This window comes from Homo sapiens, chromosome 1 (assembly GCF_000001405.40).
Source record: "Homo sapiens chromosome 1, GRCh38.p14 Primary Assembly".
In the NCBI taxonomy this organism is placed as follows: domain Eukaryota; kingdom Metazoa; phylum Chordata; class Mammalia; order Primates; family Hominidae; genus Homo; species Homo sapiens.
In genome coordinates, this window is record NC_000001.11 from 110,256,287 (window position 1) to 110,277,201 (window position 20,915).

At 43.7% G+C, this 20,915-nt stretch overlaps 1 protein-coding gene and 1 pseudogene across 2 annotated transcripts in view, besides 1 other annotated feature; both read left to right on the forward strand.

Annotated features, from left to right (window-relative positions):
• The window catches only part of KCNC4 (potassium voltage-gated channel subfamily C member 4), a 73,767-nt gene that overhangs the window by 45,973 nt on the left and 6,879 nt on the right, over positions 1-20,915 (forward strand). The gene's annotated exons all lie outside the window — the stretch shown is intronic.
• Positions 6,582-6,661: an enhancer, noted in NCBI's record as "active region_1465". NCBI's record gives its function as "activates an Ori minimal core promoter by ATAC-STARR-seq in GM12878 lymphoblastoid cells {active_cell/tissue: GM12878}" and the evidence as "EXISTENCE:reporter gene assay evidence [ECO:0000049][PMID:35858748]".
• Positions 16,198-16,321, forward strand: LOC124900436 (uncharacterized; annotated as a pseudogene).

Sequence of the window (20,915 nt, forward strand, 5' to 3'; positions counted from 1 at the left end):
TTAAGGGTGGAACCAGAAGAGCACCCAGATCTCTCCAGTCCCTAGATTCAGAGGGATATGAGCCCAAAGAATCTGTTAGAGAATATTTACTGTGACCCTCACACTTCAGAGAAAATAAACTGAGGCCCCGAAAGAACACATAACTTGGTCACTCAGAACTTGTAGTGGAGCAAGGCCAAGATTCTTTTGCCCAGTCTTCTCATCACCCGTAGCTCTTCCCAGATATTCCAGCTTTTACTGGACATCACGCTGTGTCAGGCAGTGGATCAGCTAACAATTACATTTAGTTGTGATTAATGAAGACCTGACCACAATGACTTAAACAGGGGCTTACGTCTCACTCATAAAAGTCCAGAGGCGACGGAGGCCTTGCTCGCTCCAGGCCCGGTCACAGTGGTTGTAGTGGAAGAAAGACAAGTCTGCAGTGGACGGGAAGCGCCGTCACGCCCCGGTATTACAAGGACAAGCTGAAGGAGGACCTGGGCGTGTGTCTGTTGCAGTCCAACTGTGTGGTCCAGGAAGGAAAATCCCCTCTGCAGTGTTTGAAGGAAGGATACTGCAAAGCTTTGAAATACTCATTTTTTGAGTATAAAAGATCAGTGTTGGATACCAGGTCAAGAATCAGAGGAAGAAAGGGATATTGATACATTATGTTGAAGCCAAGATGAAAACAACAAAGGATTTTCTCTGGTTATTAACACAAAGAAGCCAAAACAGGAAACATACTTTTTACTACATCTGTTTGGTTGGACCAGTTTTCCCCTCCATGGAACACTGAAGAAAATGAATGAGTTCTGTTTTTGAATATGTATAAAGTAAATGATTCTCTTGATCCAAGTTATTTTTAGAAGAAAAACCTAATTAAACAGTTATGGGTTGGGAGCATAATAAATGTGTTTTCAGAATTGTTCTAAAGCACAGAGAATGGAAAGATTGTTATTTGCAAACTTGACTCTTCAATTGAATTACACAATTTGTACAGGCCACTGATGTGACTGACACAGTTGATAACATGGAGCCTGTCCAGAAGACGTCAGTTGGGAAAGTTTAGGGTAAAACTTTTTCTTTAGTTCAGTCTTTCCTGTCTAGTTCTAAAATAAATTGTGTTTGATTCCCTCCCCTGCCGCAAAAAAAAAAAAAGTCCAGGGACCGGGTGCGGTGGCTCACGCCTGTAATCCCAGCACTTTGGGAGGCCAAGGCGGGTGGATCACGAGGTCAGGAGATCGAGACCATCCTGGCTAACATGGTGAAACCCTGTCTCTACTAAAAATACAAAAAAAAAAAATTAGCCAGGCAAGGTGGCGGGCGCCTGTAGTCCCAGCTACTCGGGAGGCTGAGGCAGGAGAATGGCGTGAACCCAGAAGGTGGAGCTTGCAGTAAGCCGAGATCGCGCTACTGCACTCCAGCCTTGGCAACAGAGCGAGACTCCGTCTCAAAAAAAAAAAAAAAAAAAAAAGTCCAGAGGCAGGTGTTCCAGGGCTGGTATGGCAGCTCTAACCAAGTCATCAGGGATGCAGCTTTCTTCTAGCTTTCTGCATCACTGACTTTTGCACACAGCTTTAATCCTAAAATGTCCAAGACTACAGCTGGTGTGTTAGCCATCACATCCATATTTCAGGCAGGAAAAGTGAGAACAGAAAGGAACAAAAGGACATGACATGCATGCCTGACCTGTCTGCCCCGTTAGGAGTCTTTCTGCAATCCCATCCAAGTTCTACTTATAATCCTTTCGCACTTGCCAGTAAGGGAGGTTAAGAAATGTTGTCTTTTACCTGGGCACATTGCTATGCTAAATGGATTTGAGCTTGTGGTAGGAATGAAGAATGATATTGGGAGCAACCAGAAATTTCTGCCATAGACACTTTCCTAGGCACTAAATGGAGATACTATTCATATATCTAGAATCTGTATCTAGATTTGTATTTCTCCTAAGATTTATGAAGGGTTTTTGTTTCCTGCTTCTTTTTTTTGAGACGGAGTCTTGCTCTTTTGCCAGGCTGGAGTACAGTGGCGTGATCTCGGCTCACTGCAACCTCCGCCTCCTGGGTTCAAGCGATTCTCCTGCCTCCGCCTCCTGAGTAGCTGGGACTACAGGCACACGCCACCATGCCCAGCTAATCTTTGTACTTTTAGTAGAGACGAGGTTTCACCACATTGGCCAGGATGGTCTCGATCTCTTGACCTCATGATCCGCCCGCCTCAGCCTCCCAAAGTGCTGGGATTACAGGGGTAAGCCACAGTGCCTGGCCATTTCCTGCTTCTTAAAATTGTTCTATACTTTCTAAATTTTCTTCAGCGTGTATGTGTTGATTTCACAATGAGAGAAAAACACCCATCCATCCTCCTTCAAATCATTCACACAGATGACTATTAACCCTGCCCAGAGTCACCTAGGCTATGCTGCTTTTACGAGGAAGGCACAAAAATTCTTAAAACAGGATTTGAGCAAAATATCAATTCTGTTCAGCTTGAATGAAATCTACCATATCACCCTATGAGGAGGCATGGAGCAGAAGTGGTGAATCCTCCAAGGCACTGATGAGAATCACAGCTTCATGCACAGCCAGCTCCCCAGCCCTCAGCCTCCCCTCCTCCTGCTCCCATCTCCTCTTGTCTGGGAGTACCTCCCACACAAGGTCTTCTCCACGCTGAAATCCAATGCCCTCAGGGGCTTCTGGGCTGCATGCCCATCTGGACTCAGAGCTGAATAGCAGGGGTGGATGCTGTGGCTCTGTGGGTAAGGCTCAGCCTTTGCACAGCCTGTCACAGATGGCTCTGTTTATTTGTGAATCGGAGGTATCCTCCTCAAGCACCCAGAAGGTAGGTCAAGGACCTGGAGGAGTCTCCTTTTCCCCACAGTAAGCCAAAGGCTGGGCCCAGGCATCCTGACCCCTACTGTCCCCAAGGAAATTGTTCAGGAATGAATCGTAGGCCAGCTCAGCATGTGACTAGGGCACACGGGGAACCCACCGGAACACTTTCTCTCAGTGTGCTGCTTGTCTAAGGCATGATGAACAGGTGTTTGAGAGGGGACGGTGGACAAGCAAGGATCAGTCTATTCCATATGGAATTGAAGCATGGGTGCTTAATTCATGAGAAGAGCCCAGACATTGCTACTTATTCCAGAATCTTTCCTCCCCTTCATCTTACTAAATGGACATCAATTTTACTTGGGGCTGTAATGTGTTCAGTTGATACCTGATCTCTCAGACTCTCTTGCAGATGTTCACAGTGCTGGACCTTGAAATGTAGGTTCAGGGCTCTGGGAAGGGTATGTGTGCCTGCAAAGAAAGGCCCAAGAGGCTGCATTTGGCCTCACCCTTCCCCTTCTTCCTGCCTGGAGGAGGAGATGCCTGGGAATGAAGCAGCTGTCTCACACTCCTGAAAAGGAAAGCTCTATGCTAGGATGGTGGGGCAGGAGCTAGAAGGATCTGAGGTTCTTCTTGACTTTCTTGACAACATCTCTGGACTATCTACTTCCTGATTTCTTGTTACATGACACAAATAAAAGCCTCATTTGGGTAAGCCAGCATGGTTGGGTTTCTAGTACAGGGAGCCAAATACAATTTTAAGTGATGCCTAAAGATTGTCAAAGAGGGTGCCTTTTTGTGTGATTGCAGACTCGCCAACCAATGTGCATTTCCTGTCCAGGTTCTGTCCTCAGGCTCACTTCCTCTTAGGTAAGACCTGGCCAGGCTGCATTGTCCCAGCAGAACGCCCAGCAGGCCTGGGCATGCATCTCAGATGAGGCTGAGCTCTTTGACTGTTCATCTGTATTTATCACTATGGGGGAAAGTGAAGAATAAAATACCATGGATTGTTTTTACTCCTCTCAAGAGACAATGTGGAATACAAGAAAATACATCTTGGCTGAGAAGTCCCTGAGAATTAAAAATTTGATCCTCCTGAACTAGGAACAGGGGGGCTTTTCCCTCTCTTTATCAAACCATTTAGGGCATAAGGGTGCTTCCCACTGAAAGCCCCATGGATTGCAGATCTTGAAAATCCTTTGGGATCTGTAAGATGTTAGGACTTTGTAAAGAGGAATTGATGATCTTAGACTAGATAGTGTGAGAAAAAAAGAGGAAATGATGAATATATCATCTATCAGGTTTCAGGTTTTTCTCAATCAACCAACATCTTTTCAAATGCCTACCATGTGTCTATATAACTTTCACAAAATGAACAAATGTCTTTAAAAGATTCCTGCAAAGAAATTCGGGTTGGAGATAATATCAATAGTAAAAGCATAAAAAACAAAAAGAATATTTCTGGGGTGACCCTTTTCTTTCTTTATAAGTTCTTTGTTAGCCACTTTATAAGGCAAAAGCAATGAGAATCCAATCAGATCTGAAAAGAAGTTGACAGAAAAATGCAACATTTAAAAAACAATTGTCTCTTTGGGAGGTCGAGGTGGGTGGATCACGAGGTCAGGAGATCGAGACAATCCTGGCTAACACGGTGAAACCCCATCTCTACTAAAAATACAAAAAATTAGCCGGGCACGGAGACGTGCGCTTGTAGTCCCAGCTACTCGGGAGGCTGAGGGAGGAGAATGGTGTGAACCGGGGAGGCGGAGCTTGCAGTGAGCCGAGATCGCGCCACTGCACTCCAGCCTGGGTGACGCAGCGAGACTCCGTCTCAAAAAAATAAATAAATAAAAAGCAAAAACAATTCTCTGAAACATGGTTGCCATTTATTATTGTTAATGAAGGATATTGTCCTAAGAGTTTTTGTCTTGAGATATTAGCTAATGATAGCAGAAAATTTCCCAATTAGTAAGATATTTAAAAATTAAGCATCTAGACCATGAAGAAAAACTTTCTCAATTTTTTCATTGATGCTTGAAGTCATTACAATGCTTAATCCGGTATTTAACATTTCATTAAATCTAATGATAAACATATGCGTGAATCCTTTAGTGTTCTTAGTAATTGCAAAACACAAAAAGCCATATGCCCTTAGGGAAACACTTGCTTTTTCTACCATGAAAAATGGCTGAAATAAGACATGAAAAACAATATGGCAATAAAAAATGCAATCTTTTGTCAGCAGGCATTATTGACAGATGCATAAAAAACATTGCTGAAAAAATTTTAAATGAATATTAGGACAAAGTATGCCTGATAGGAAATCTGCTATATATTTGATTTAAAGTATAGAGATTTCTAACATCTCAGTTAATGGGATTTGCTACATTTTGTTGAAATACGAGAATTATATGATAAAGCACTATTTTTGAGCCACTAAAGGGAGGATGAGTGGGAAAAGAGTAAATGACTTCCCTAATAAAAACGCTTTATAGAAAAAGTATTGACTGGAATAAAAAGAGGGATCTGGTGTGGTTACAAAGATAGAACCACACTTAATATTCCTTTACTGGGCAGCAAAGAAGTTAAAGCCATATGTGCACAAAATGCTGTGTTGTCATTGATGATGTTAATTTTATAAAAAGAAGGTCTGTAAAATATAACAGAATTCTTATAACACTTTGAAATGGGATATGGAGTGACCAGGGAGGTCTTTTGATTCCCATAAAGGTTTACCAATTTTCTCATGGCAAGTACTTAAGGTTTATCAAAATTAAAAAGTTACTTGTTTTTCTTATACAAAACAACAAGCATTCCATTTTAAAGGTGATGCTTTATTATCTTTTAAAAATTGATGACATGCTAAGGAAAAAACATTTGAAAACAGATGTTTAGATGTTTCCATCATTACACAATTTTGCCCAAAGCACTGTTTTGTAATACCTTTAAATCTCTCATACCTGTACACTTAAAAAAGGATTGGAAACAAAATTTTCTACCTTATTTTAAAATCTTGTGAATGAGGCCATATGTTTTGATTCCATTTTATTAGAACTATAAAGATATAATTATATAATAAATGCTTATAAAATACAAAGTTATAAAAATATTTGTTTGCTTAAAAGAACAGACTCTGGGTGCTATAGCAATTATGTGATGCTTATTGTATACTGCCTTAGACTTCTGGCTTCTTATCTTGAACACCTGACCTCAAGCCATCCTTGAGCGCTGGGATTACAGGCATGAGCCGCTGCACCCAGCCAACCTCTGGCTTCTTATGGAGTACTTTGTCTTTTGATGCAACTGGGAGCTCAGTGACTGCATCTTCTTCTTTCTGTGCCTTTCCTCTTCCCTAACTTCCCCAACCCTACCCTGCCCCAGTGCCTACCTCTTTGATCTGCAGCCGCTGCATTTGTGAAAGTGAATTTGAAGTTCAGGCCAATAGGGAGTTTCCAGTTCTTGTATCATACATTTTAAGGTCCATTTACTTGACCTACTCTGGCTCCCAGAAGCCCATAGGATAAGCTCTAATTTCTTAGCAATACAGCTGTCCTTCTGCCTCACTGTCTCTATCAACCTTGTCAAACCCACCTTTCTCCAATACTTCTCCAGAAGCCCTTCCTCTCCCCTACTAAGTGGAGGTCTAGATTTGTGACAAGGTACTTCTTAGGTCCCATTTCTTCGGCCCTCACCCCCTCCTTTTGGTCTTTTCCTCCTCTGAGGGCTTTCCTATAGTGCTTACCTGCACAGTCAGGACTGATAATAAGCATTTGTCGTGATGAGGACGTCCTGTCTTTCCCGCCTGTCAAGCCTTGAGCATCTGTGGTGAGACTCCGCGTAACCCCATCACCTAGGATAGCCCTGTGAACAACAGAGGATGCTGTGCACAGGCCCTGTCAGGAAATGCTCATTGGTGACAGCATGACCTCTGGTGTCTGTTTCATGACCTGTTTGCATCTGTCACTTGCACATTTTTCTGTGGTGGAGGGAGTTGCCATGTGCTGTGGTTCTAGAATGGCTGCCTGCCTGGTGGCAAAGGGAACATGTGGGTCAGCAGTGGTGGGGCTTTTCAACCTGTTTTGGGGACAGCCAGCTATCCTGAGCCCAGGAAACTGAGGGCTGGATGCTGGCTCATCCCTTGGGTAAGAGATACGGTAATAACAGCTGTTCTGGGCCAAAATACATTTAGTGACATCTTGGGAGATTTTGGTGCATGAGGCATGCTTTAAAAATACATGAGAATTTAAGGGTTTTTTTTTTTCCCACATCTGCTGAGGAAACATGTCCACACATCTAGGCTAATATTAGGGCTGTTTATTTCCTAGGGTTGACATTTCCTTGGCTGTCTAAGATTGCTGCTGGAGATAGAATGACCGATATTCACTTTGGCATCCTTCAGCCAGAAAGGATGATCAAGGTTAAATAGGAGCACGTTTGGGCAACACAGACAGACAGACACCCAGAAATATGTACGCCACTCCAAACAGGGTCATCATCTGACCCACAGTGTTGCTGGGGCTCAAAGTGGCCCTTACATAAAGGACTCCAGTTTAGAGGGTACATTTCATATGGGAGACTGATTGAGAGGTTCAAAAATCCAGTTTTATACATAGAATAAGAAACAGTTCTTCCCGTGGGAAAGACTACTTTGGGGAACAAATTGAGGCCTGGAAGGCAACCAGCCTTCCTCTCTAAAAAAAAAACAATCTCTAGCAAGCTTTCAGTGAGGGGGGGGAGCTGAATGGGGGTCTCCATTTGGGGAGAGTCCTTCTCAAGCATCTCTACCTCTGGGCTTTTTCTCTCCTCTGGGTACAAAGCTCCCCCATTCTCCCTGGTCAAATGGATGGGGTGGGGGAATCTCTTTCCCATGTTATTCTTGGTACAACTGAAGAATTCCAAAAGGGACTTTGCATACAAAAAAAGAGAAAAGGTGTTTTTTTAACTGAACAGGTGTCTTCTGGCCCCGGGCAGTAAAGCCAAACACTGACATTGGGACTGCAATGAAAGAAACCGAGGCATTTATTGTAGGGCACCAAGCAAGGAGAATTGGGCCACTAATGCTTAAACCCTGAAGTCCTCAGTGGCTTACAGGTAAGAGTTTTTGAAGGCAAGGAGACGGAGGTTACAGGCAAAGTCATAAATCAATACATAGAGTCTGTGCATTGGTTTGACCTAAAAAGGCAAGACATCTCAAAGTGGAGGAGAGAGGAACAGGTCATAGGTGGATTCAAAGATTTTTTTGATTTGTGATTGGTTAAGGAGGCTTTGTCTAAAAATTTGGAAGCAAGCAGAAAAGAATTATTAGCTCTGGCTCATGGGCATGACCTCCTCCAAGCCCTTCAGGAAGAATTTTAGAAGAAAGAACAGAGGTCAGAGTTCAGTCCTTAGTCCCCCCTTATCTGAGGTCGATATGCCAGCAGATCCATTTAGTAGGGGTCCGGGTTTCTGAAAAACAACTCAGGAACATATGTTGAGATGTTATCTTTAGTTTCTAAAGGGAACCAAACATGACTTTAACTTCCTTGGCTATTGTTTTAAGCCACTGTTACCTTCCTGCTTACCAAGTTGCTTATTTACTTCTCAAGGCTAGCTAGGAGCCTGCAATTTTCCTGGAAGGAACTCAAGATTTTTCTTTATTTAGACCCCTAAGAGGGATCCCTACTCGTCTCTGGAGAAGGAGGGGGAGAAAGAAGGGAGAGAGCTGGCTGGGCGCAGTGGCTCATGCCTGTAATTCCAGCACTTTGGGAGGCCAAGACAGGCGGATGGCTTAAGGTCGGGAGTTCGAAACCAGCCTGGTCAACACGGTGAAACCCCATCTCTACTAAAAATACAAAAATTGTCCAGGCATGGTGGCACACACCTGTAATCTCAACTACTCGGAGGCTGGGGCGGGAGAATCACTTGAACCCGGGAGGCGGAGGTTGCAGTGAGCCGAGATTGTGCCACTGCACTCCAGCCTGGGCAACAGAACCAAGACTCTGTCTCAGAAAAAAAAAAAAAAAAAGGTGGGGGAGAGTGAAAGAAAATAAAGTACAAAACCACTTGCAATCAAAACAGAATTTATTGATGCTATACTAGTAACTTCTTTTACCCTGTCCCTTCCCCCACACTCTGAGCATCTTCAGAGAAAGATCTCGTTTATAGTGTTCAGGTTCTTCCTAGGCTAGAAGCCTCGGAAAAATAAGTTTACAAGTGGCTGATGAGTGAACAGTAGAACTCTCAGGCTCCCTGAGTTTCCAGCAGCAGAAATAAAACATAAATAAAATAAAATAAAATAAAATAAAATAAAATAAAATAAAATAAAATAAAATAAAATAAAATAAAATATTCCCCACCCAGAGGATGGCCCCTAGCAGTCAGGTTTTAGGCTGCTAGAAGAGGGCTCCCAAAGGAGCTTTTAGAGAGGGCTGCCCAAGAAGTCATCCAGGCCCCTGTTCCCAGGCAACACTGAGGAACTCTGCACTCCTCTGGGCTGCTTGAGTTTCTTGCATTACAACAGTACTTATGTCAAAAAGTTAACCATCTCTGGTTTGGAGAGAAAGGCCCAATAGTCATCATCTTCCATTTTAGCACCAGGGAGCCTGTTCTGGGGCCCCGAAGAGGAACTCAGAGCCAGGGAAGAGGCCCTTGGAGGTGGGTAGGACAGGGTAGGTCCTGCCCAGCACTAGACCCTCTCCTCCTGAAAACACGGAGAAACTGGGCTGGTGGTGCTCCAGCCCCAGAGAGGCCCTTGGTTCCTTTGTTGACCCTCCCAAGTGACTTGTTGCACCTACCTTCCTACCTTGTTTGTCATTTGTTCATTCATTCATTCTTTCAGCACAGATAGACCCAGCCTACCATGTGATAACACTAAACCTCAGAGCACCGCAGGAATACAAAAGAAATACATGTAGCCTTGTTCCCTTTTCACATAGAGAGCTAGGGACAGGGTGGGGACTGCCTCTTGAAGTTCCATGAAGGCAGAAGAGGCACTGTGGAGCATTTAATAGATGCAGGCATTCTTCTGCTTAAGTACAATTCACCCAATTCCCCCGACAGCTCTGGAAATAGGGGGAGAAATAATGGGCAGGGAAGCAAGTTAAGTGGCTGATCAGGGACACAAGTACTGGCTTTGTGGTAACCAGATCCCAACACTGTTGCATGGGGAGAGAGTCTCAGTTGACTGAAAGGATCAGATATTGAAACATTCATAGCCGCAACACCGAAACTGCACCCTGGAGGGCTGAGTGAGGAGGGGAGGGGCTGGAGTGCAGAACAAACCTGGTCCCACAAATAAATCCAGCCCCAGGACATCACTTTCCTAATGAGAAGCAGCAAGAATTTCTGCAAGGTTTTTGGAAGACCCTTTGGAAACAGTCATTCATTGTTGGTAACCCTCACTGAGTCCTTAGGAACAGCCAGGCTTGCTCTAAGCACTTTACATGGGATAACTCCTTTAGTCTCCCTAGCAACCCTAGGAAGTAGGTACTATTACTATTCTCATTTTGCTAATGAGGAAAGGTAAAACGACTTGCCCAAGGGCACAGAACCTTTAAGTGGCAGGGCTGGGATTTGAACCCAGCCTAGCTCCAGCCTCTGCTCCTAGCTATAAGTCTGCCACAGCTGTTGTTGCCATTCTTGATCCAGATTGGCCCCCTTGCTCTTTGTATGGGCCCCATTTCTTCCCCTTAAGTCTTGGCATCTGTACCCCAAGGGACCCGAATACCAGGAGAGACCTAAAGTCTGTGTTCCCCGGACCCGAGGACCCCGTGCCTTGATGTGCCATTGTCATGGGGATGTTTGCCCCTTCTGATGTCTCCTTCTTAGCTCCTGGTTAGTTCTCTTGAAGCATCCCACTTTCTCACTTTGGCTTGCAGGGCAGGCTGAGCAAACACCATCTGCCAAGAGGCCTGCAGCAAAACAAACTGCAGCAGCCCCAGAGGTCTTGTAGCTTCCATTTAGCAAGCAGCCCGCACGCCTCTGTGGGCAGAACCCTTGGGGAGAGGGCTGCTATTCATCACTTGTTTGGCTGTGGGAGGCTCAGCAGTCTGTGTAGGGTGGGCTTTGCTGGGGAGAAAGGTGCTGGTTTTCTGAGAGCTGAGGAGGCCACTGGGAAGGTTTGGGGCCCAGGAGGGCTGCTGCTGGACTCCAGGTTGCTCAGGATCAACGTCTTTTCTCCATTCTGATGCAGAAGAACCATGTGCTTGCTTGTTTGCTATTTATACTGCAGTTGCTGTCTAGGGGTTTTCTTTGAAGGGAATGAATAGACTCTGAGGCTCTAAGTACATTTCTGGCTCAGTGCTGTGCTGCACACACCTCAGTTCAGCTGATACGAGGCCCGTCCTTATTCCCCGCTGCCTCCATGTCCTTCTGGAATCCGTACATTCCAGATAGCACCACTCCCCAATGCCTCCACCGCCCACATGAACACACTCCTAAGTACATTTACAATCCGGCTCCTGCTTCCTTCCCTGGCCAGCAAAACTTCATTTCAGCCTCTCTTAGGATTAGGTTATGCCCTTAGCCATCATCTTATTCTGTTCCTTTTAGCAAGATGCGAACCTCTACATTCTGTCATTCTTAATCCTCCTTGCCCCACTTCCTATGTATCTCACCACCAGGAAGGGACTGAAATCGCCTTTGCAGAATTATAAGTAATGAGAGAAATCTAACATGACAGACTCCATCTTGCTTCTAACCTCACAGGCTAAATTGGTTTTTTGCTTATTCTAGTCTGGAGGCCAATATAACTATGAGAGGAATTTGGTTTACAGTTAAACTTTGAGGCCAGAAAAACTGCCCCTTCCTTGTTCAGAGATTGAAGTCGCATTCGTAATACATGGTTAGAATCATGGTAAGGGCTCTAACTTTGCTGAAGAATAGGCATAGTTAAGCAATAACCTGCCATGACTTAGCATGCTTTTCTAGAAGTTTTTTACTACCCCCGAGTCATGTAAGCAGGGGTCACAAGATTTATAACTTCCCCAGCTATTCCTATATAACATCACTATTGTGAAACCTAAAGAACTTCCCCATATGTATCTGAGATATTTTTGAGATTTTTTTTCAGATTTGGCATTTTGGCAGACCAAGAGATAGATGCCACCTGGTCTTGAGACCCCCTCCCAGTACCTGACTCAGCTGCACAAAGGCAGCTTTAGACACCCCTGTGATCTTATCCCCTGTCAATCAATTGTTTCAATTCTCCAGCCCCCTGGCTGCCAGAGTGCCTTTAAGAAACTCTAGCCTTGGCCGGGTACCGTGGCTCACGCCTGTAATCCCAGCACTTTGGGAGGCCGAGGCGGGCAGATCACGAGGTCAGGAGATCGAGACCATCCTGGCTAACACGGTGAAACCCCATCTCTAATAAAATACAAAAAATTAGCCAGGCGTGGTGGCGGGCGCCTGTAGTGCCAGCTACTCCGGAGGCTGAGGCGGGAGAATGGCGTGAACCCGGGAGGCAGAGTTTGCAGTGAGTCGAGATCGCGCCACTGCACTCCAGCCTGGGAGACAGAGCAAGAGACTGTCTCAAAAGAAAAAAAAAAAAAAAAAGAAAAGAAAAGAAAAAAAAAGAAACCCTAGCCTTGGAATTCTCGGGAAGACAGGCTTGAGAAGTTTCTCCCGTTCTGCTCATGTGGCTGGCCCTGAGATTTTATTTTTTTTTTTTTTTGAGACGGAGTCTCGCTGTGTCACCCAGGCTGGAGTGCAGTGGCGCGATCTCGGCTCACTGCAAGCTCCGCCTCCCGAGTTCACTCCATTCTCCTGCCTCAGCCTCTCTGAGTAGCTGGGACTACAGGCGCCCGCCACCACGCCCGGCTAATTTTTTGTATTTTTAGTAGAGACGGGGTTTCACCGTGGTCTCGATCTCCTGACCTCGTGATCCGCCCGCCTCGGCCTCCCAAAGTACTGGGATTACAAGCGTGAGCCACCGCGCCCGGCCTACCCTGAGATTATTAAGCTCTTTCTTTGCTGCAACAACCTGCTGTTCTCATTGTTTTCTTCAGGGCAGCAGGCAAGAAGAACCCATCAGTCTGTGACAGGGCCATCTTTTCAGAAAGCAAATCTCCCTGGGCCTTCCTGTAGCCTGGTATTTTGTTTTTTTCATTCAGGTTTATTAAAGTGCAATTTACACCAAGTAAAATACAACTCAAGATTTTTGACAGACACGTCAGTTGAGTAACCACCACCACAATCAAGATACAGAACAATTCCATCACCCCAAAACATTCTCTCATATACCTTTAAAGCCAACAACTTCCCCCATCGCCAGCTTCTCACAACCACCAATCTAATCTGTGGTGGTTTTATTTTTCTCCCCTCTGGTTTCGCCTTTCCCAGAATGTTACATAAATGAAATCTGGAGTCTGGCTTCTTTCACTCAGAGAGACTCAGCCATGTTGTTGCAAGCAGCAGTAGTCCATTGCTAGGTAGTATTCTGAAGTATGGATGTACCACAGTTTATCAGTTCACCAGTTGAAGGACATTAGAGTTTCAAGTTTGGGGCAATTATGAATAAAGCTGCTATAAACATTCATGTAGAATTTTTATGTGAACATATGTTTTCATTTCTCCTGGTAAATACCTAGGAACGGGATTTATGAGTTGTAAGGTAAGTATATATTTAACTTTTTTTTTTTGGTTACCAGATCTCAGGCAAGAGGATATATTTAACTTTTAAGAAACTGCCAAACTGTTTTCCAAAGTGGCTGTATTATTTTGCATTTCTCCCAGCAGTGTGTGACAGATCCAGTTATTTTGCATTTTTACAATGTCAGGTATTGCCAGTTTCCCCATTCCAACCTCCCTCCGTTCTAAAGATGTGTTACATGGCACTTTTGTGATCTATTTTTGTGCTGCTTTTTCTCAAGTGGCAGTCCTAGAAGGCAGGAAATGGGATTTGTTTATTTCTATATTGCCTACACAGAATATATCAGGGTAGGAGCTCAATATATCTTTAACACATGTATGAATGAACACATGAAGCTTTCTAGGTTGCTTGGCAGTTTCTAGAGGACAGAGCTACTGATGCTCCATCCTTCTCACCTGGAAAAACACTGACGTCCAACTGGCTTCCCTTGGTCATGAGCAGTTCCTGATCTACCTCTGTCCTCACCCCTTGTTGAAGTCATGCCGCCCTCAGACTCTCCTCTCTGGGTCCTTTCTGTTTGGATGTTGCCTGCTGCATTGGCCTCATTCCTCTGGAAATAAGCTGAGTGCAGAGAGGACCTTCCCCTCCAGTACCAAGTTATGGTCAGCAGATCCCTCAGGGAACAAGCTACTGGAAAGATTTAAGGACTGCGTGATTAAGAGAGGGAACAGCCATGAAAAACAGTTGCATCTGCCTGAAGATCAAACCAAAGCTAAGGAGTTGGATGAGGCTATACTAATAATCTCAGGGTGGACTTAGAGGCAGCCTGATGACCCTGTCCACATAGGCACTGCGAGTCTTACAAGTTGTCCCCATATGTGTCTACTGAACTTCTTTAGGGAGATAAGCTGCTGACTGGAGGGTGTGAGCACAAACCAGGAGGCTGAGCGAATGACCTTCAAGAAAGGAACAAACAGGTGCAAGGGAGCTGGTTGTGAGGAAGATAAATAGAAGCAGTATGTGCAAGGGAAACAAGGCTACAAAGGTGGGAAGGGATTGCCTCCAAAGTGGGCCTGGCTCTTCTCACCCAACCACACTGCATCAGAGGTGAGCAGCCTATCAGGGCCTGAGGTCTGAACACAGGATGCCTGGCCTACCCTCAGTTGCATTGCATTTTTCAGCCCCTGCAGACTGGCTCTGCGGTGGCCTCAATTCAGAGGTACACATTCCAGGACATTGGAGGAGTCTATTGATGTGGAAGATCAGCTCTTCAGTAGATTTAGACCCTGGGGGGCTGAATGGAACCCTCTTGAAAGATCTTTTCAGGAAGGCTTGGAAGCCAATGGAAGGATCCTGAGGATGACAGTTCTGGAGAGGGTAGAAATAGAAAACAAACAAACAAGGAATGACTCTCCAGAGTCAAAGGCATGCAATTCTCCTTGTGTGAACTGGCAAGGGCTAGATGCCACTCAGACCCTGGAGAAACTGAGCAAAGAGAAAAGAGAGGTTAAACCTTCAGAGGTGGGAAGGTTGTGAGAGTTCAGGGCATATTCCTGGAGGTGAGTATAGCTGAGCACTGATGGTGTGGTTGGGTGAAAGCTGGATAACAGAAGGTCAAGAAGAAAAGAGCACTAAAGATCATCTACTCCAAATTCCCTCTTTATACAGGGGAGAGATCTGAAGCTTAGGGTGGGGAAGGGATAGCCCACAGTTACATTGCTAGTTAGTAGTAGAGCTAAAACTGGAACCCAAGTCTCTGGACTCTTGAGAGTAGTTTTGAATCCTGGCAGCTCATTAGAAAAATCTAGTCTAGAAAATTTCTCTTAAAGAGCAAAAAGCTAAGTATGGGAAGCAAGACTCATGTGAACCCAGATCTGTTTGGACTGGTTTATTCCTATCCCAAATACCTGCACTTGTGTAGCCTCTGATTACAGGGGCTTAAGCTTGTGAGTTCAGTGCCAGCAGACAACTTTCTCATTCTTTAGAAGGCCATTCCAACAAAAAGTGGGCTAGCTGCCTCTGGAAACATTTAGGTCCAGTTTTGCTAGGAAGCAAACAATCATGTGGGGGCTGTTTCTATTGCAGGGTGGGGAAGAAGGGGGTTGAGGTGTGAGGTTGGGGAGGAGACTGTCCCCATCGCATGCTTTGGGAATCTTCCCTCTTGCTGCCAACTGTACAGTGACTCTGAAAAGCATCTGAAAGAGGAGGAGGAGGAGGCTCCGTTCACACATGAAAGGCTAAGACTCACTTAGGTTATAACACACACTCACCCATAATTACCCCATATTCCTCTAAATTGTCCACACCATGATGGACAGATCCCCCCTTCCCGCCACAATTTTCCCTAAAGTTGTGGACCTCTGATGACCTCGAAACTGATCTAACATAGTAATTTTGTTCTGGGGTACCTGGCCCACTCCATCTTCTTCTGTGATCTGTCTTGGATTGTAAGCCCTACTGAAGGGACCAGCTGGACTGCCTTATGTGTTCTATGTGACCATCCAGCTACAGCTGGTTGGACCAGAATCAGATCCTGTCTCAATGTTGAACAATCTATTGGCTGGTCAGCAGCCAATCAGATTCACCCTCTTGAGAATTTCAAGTATGTGTTGCACAGCCAGAATGCAATCAGAGCTCAAAGGTTACTGAGGGTTGGGAACTTTACCTACAATCAATGCTGTAAACAGGCTGAAGTCATTAAGAGGCAGAGATGCTTCTTGAACAAGCTGCAGAGAGAAAAATGGCCCAAATGTATGAACAGATGAGACCATAGAGACACCATAGAGGCCCCAGAGAAAGAGAATCAAAGAGAGGGACTATAAGTCATTTCAAAGAGGGCTTGGATGGCTATGAAACCAGAGCTCTTAAGGTTATAATAAGATTGAAATTTTCCATAGGATGCTGTAGTCACACAATAGTGCTGTTTTCTTGAGGAGACAGAAGACTTAGCCACTCATAATCATGACATCTCATTCATAATAATCCATGATTGGAGGTGTGGGAAAGTGAATAGGTATCTTACAGTTAGGGTGAGAGAGGAAAAGAGAAAAAGAGGGGTTGGGGAGAGAGAGACAGAGAGAGGATACCTTGAGCCCTAACAGTTCAGATTTCCCAGATGCAATTTTCAAAATGATACTGGCTGCACTTTATTTCCATGAGCTGTCTTAGAACCTTACAATGACTACCTTGTTCATTTTGGTTTGCTTTTCTGTCCTTTGCATGCAGTAAATTCATCCTAAAATTCATTTATCTAAATGTAATCTGATTTCCTTGTATTATAAAAATGCTCACTCCCAAGTCTCCAAGGGATAGTCCTGGAGTTGGTTGTGGTGTCTATGTAAATCTCCGCAGTTCCCCTGACAATTGGCCTTGGCAGAATGAAAGACCATTAAGAAGCTGAGCAAGGAGAGGAAGGAGGAAAGCTTCACCTCTGTAACTGCATATAATGTTTCCTGGAGAAAAATGGACCCAGGAGCTGAAAGAGGGCATCTAGTTAGAGCTACAGAGTGCCTTTCATTGACCTGGTGTGGTCCCTAGAGAGAAAGTGCTGTGTGTTTCCTCAACTGGTTCCTTTACTCATTTATTGTACATAGATATGGGCCTGACCCTAGGCTTGGTGCTAAGGAAGCAGATAAATACAACACTAAACCTTCACTAAATCATGAGTTTCTGCTCATGGTTTAGTGGAGACACTTTGGCATTCTATTGGTACTGCAACAAAACAGTCTGCCTTCTGTGAGAGTTATTTATCTCTGTGTCAGTCTCTTCTTTGAGACGAAGAGTCTGGAAAGAACAGGGACCCTGGGTTATCATCTCTCCTTCCCTCCGCTGACACTAATGCCGAGCCTGGCACTCAAAAACTGACCAGAGAATTGGCTACCAGGTTTGGGCTGTGGATTTGAACTGTGTTGCTCCTCCCTGCCCACTGATGGCCACCCTGGCCCTCTCCAGCAAATCGTGGAACTATGTGCTCCTGGTCACAGTGGGAGGCTAAGGAGCATTGAGGAATGTGGGTGAAACCACTCAAATTCATTCTGGGGGAAGAGCTCAAAGCACATGCCCACTGGATATGGGTGAGTGGTGTCTGTAGGGAGGTGCCCTGGAACTTATAGATAAAGCCACTCACCTAGGAGTAGAGCAGGTAGCAAAACTAGTTGTCTCTAAGTTCTCTGGATGCCCTGAGTTTTCTGAGGGAGTCATCCAAATTTCAGAGTCTGCACTGGTGGTAGAGAGGTCTCAAAACACTCCCAGAACCAACCCAGGAACATAAGGAGCTTCCTTAGGACTAAAACGTTATTAAGAACTTAATGTGGAAGTCATAGACAGAGCAATCAGGCAACAGAAAGAAATAAAAGGCATCCAAATTGGAAAAGAGGAAGTCAAATTATTTCTGTTCACTGATGATATGATCTTATATCTAGAAAGCCCTAAAGACTCCTCCGAAAAACTCTTAGATTTGATAAATAAATTCAGTAAAATTTCAGGATACAAAATCAACATACAAAAATCAGTAGCATTTCTATATGCCAATAAAACTCAAGCTGAGAAGCAAATCCAGAACACAATCCCATTTACAATAGCCACCAAAACAAAATTACCTAGGAATATATTTAACCAAGGAGGTAATACTATTCAGCCATGAAAAAGAATGAAATCCCAATGAGGAAAACTACAAAACACTGATGAAAGAAACTGTAGATGATATAAACAAATAGAAAAATAACTCATGCTCATAGATTGAAAGAATTAATATTGTTAAAATGACCATACTGCCCAAAGCAATCTACAGATTCAGTGCAATCCTTATCAAAATGCCATTGTCATTTTTCACAGAATTAGAAAAAACAAGCCTAAAATTCATATGAGACCTAAAAAGAGCCCAAATAGCCAAAGCAATCCTAAGCAAAAATAGCAAAGCTGGAGCCATTACATTATCTGACCTCAAATTATACTACTGGGCTATAGCAAACAAAACAGCATGGCATGATCATAAAAATAGACACAAAGATCAATAGAACAGAATTTAAAAACCCAGAAATAAAGCCACATACCTACAGCCAACTGATCTTTGAAAATGTCAACAAAAATATACACGAGGGAAAGGATACCCTTTTCAATAAATGGTGCTGGGGAAATTGGATTGCTATATGCAGAAGAATAAAACTGGACCCCTGTCCCTCACCATATACAAAAATCAATTCAAGATGGATAAATACTTAAATGTAAGGCCTGAAACTACAAAAATACTAGAAGAAAACCTAGGGCAAACTCTTCTGGACATTGGTCTAGGCGAAGAATTCATGACTAAGACCTCAAAAGCACAAGCAATAAAAACAAAAATAGACAACTAGAACTTAACTGAAATGTTTCTGCGCAGCAAAAGAAATAATCAACAGAGTGAACAGACAACATGCAGAATGGAAGAAAATATTTGCAAACTATGCATCTAGTAGGATACTGATGTCCAGAATTTACAAGGAACTCAAACAACAACAAAAGCAAAAAACAAATAACCCCATTAAAAAGTGGGCAAAGGAAATGAATAGACATTTTCAAAAGAAGACATACAAATGGCCAAGAAGCATAGGAAAAAAATGGTCAACATCACTAATCATCAGGTTTTAATGCAAATCAAAACCACAATGAAGTATCATCTTATACTAATCAGAATAGTTATTATTAAAAAGTCAAAAAAATAGATGTTGGTGAGGATGCAGAGAACAAGGAATGCTTATACACTATTGGTGGGAATGCAAATTAGTACAACCTCTATGGAAAACAGTATGGCTATTTCTCAAAGAACTAAAAATAGAACTACCATTTGATCCAGCACTTCTACTACTGGTTATCTACCCAAAGGAGAAGAAATCATTATATAAAAAAGATACTTGCATTTGTATGTTTATCACAATAGCAAAAATAGGGAATCAACCTGAGTGTCCATCAATGGAGGACTGGATAAAGAAAATGTGATATGTATATACCACGGAATACTATTCAGCCACTTAAAAAAGAATGAAATCAGCTGGATGTCCCTGTAATCCCAGCACTTTGGGAGGCCGAGGCGGGTGGATCATGAGGTCAGGAGATCGAGACCATTCTGGCTAACACAGTGAAACCCCGTCTCTACTAAAAATACAAAAAATTAGCCAGGCATGGTGGCACACGCCTCTAGTCCCAACTACTCAGGAGGCTGACACAGGAGAATCACTTGGACCCGGGAGGTGGAGGTTGCAGTGAGCTGAGATCACGCCACTGCACTCCAGCCTGGGTGAAAAGAGACTCCGCCTCAAAAAAAAAAAAAAAAAAGAAGAATGAAATCATGTATTTTTCAACAAAATGGATGGTACTAGAGACCATTATCTTAAGTGAAAAAAACTCAGAAACAAATTCAAATACCATATGTTCTCTTATAAGTGAGAGCTAAATAATGTGTACAGCTGGACACAGAGTGTGGAATGATAGACACTGAAGACTCTGAAGGGTGGGAGTGTGGGAGTGGAGTGAGGGATGAGAAATTGCTTAATGGGTACAATGTACATTATTCAGGTGAAGGTTACACTAAAAGCCCAGACTTCACCACTATATAATATATCCATGTAAAAAAAGCTGCACTTATATCCTTTCAATTTATACAAAAAAAAAAAAAAAAAAAAAAAGGACCTTAGTGTTCTGTGACCTTTATACGTGAAGAATGGGTTAATAGAAATAGCTGGGTTTTCATGGTGTTCAGGCAAACAGGACACCAGGACCAGAGAGAGAAAGAGAATTTCAGTGTCTGCAGCTTTTTCAGAAGGAGAGGGAGCCCTGCCTAGTCCTCATGGGTACCTGGACTTCTTGGCAGGACTTTTTCTGGAGTGAAGACATAGGTACCTAGCTCCCATGGCATAATATATTGACCATCAAAAGCATAAACCAACCTCCTGTGCCCCACATTCTGCCTCAGGACCATCCAGTCCAGCCTGTTTGGGTTCTATTTCTCATGACAATTCTGATTTACCATCAATCTCTTAGGAGGCTCATTGGCATGTGTTAGTCCTATAGGGCATCTAAATGCAAGAGCATCATCTTCAGGCAGAGAGAGCAGGACATTTTGTATTCAACACATCTTAGAACAGCCCCAGGAGCTTAGTATCTCATGCAGGAATAGTGTTATCATGTCACCAAGCCAAAAACAAACTAAAGACTGACAAACATGGACCTCCAAGGGGAAGACTGCAAAAGTGAGTTGATAACAGACAGTTGCCCCCAGAAGTTCTCAACAGTGCTGAGAGCCGGGTCATATGTATATACCAATACCACCCACACATTTTTCATTATCAGAGACTCAGATTTTACCAAATTGCAAAGGACATATAAACTGTCTTCTGAAGCCTCTGCTTTCAGCATTACCTTCCACCCCACATCCCGCTGAAATCTAAATTTAGCCATCTGTTTTCACCATTCCAATAATCACAGGGACTTAGGCTTACTTGATAGGGGTGATAATGTAAGTGAAGTCAAGAAAGAACACACATCATTAAAAATGTTCAGGGCCA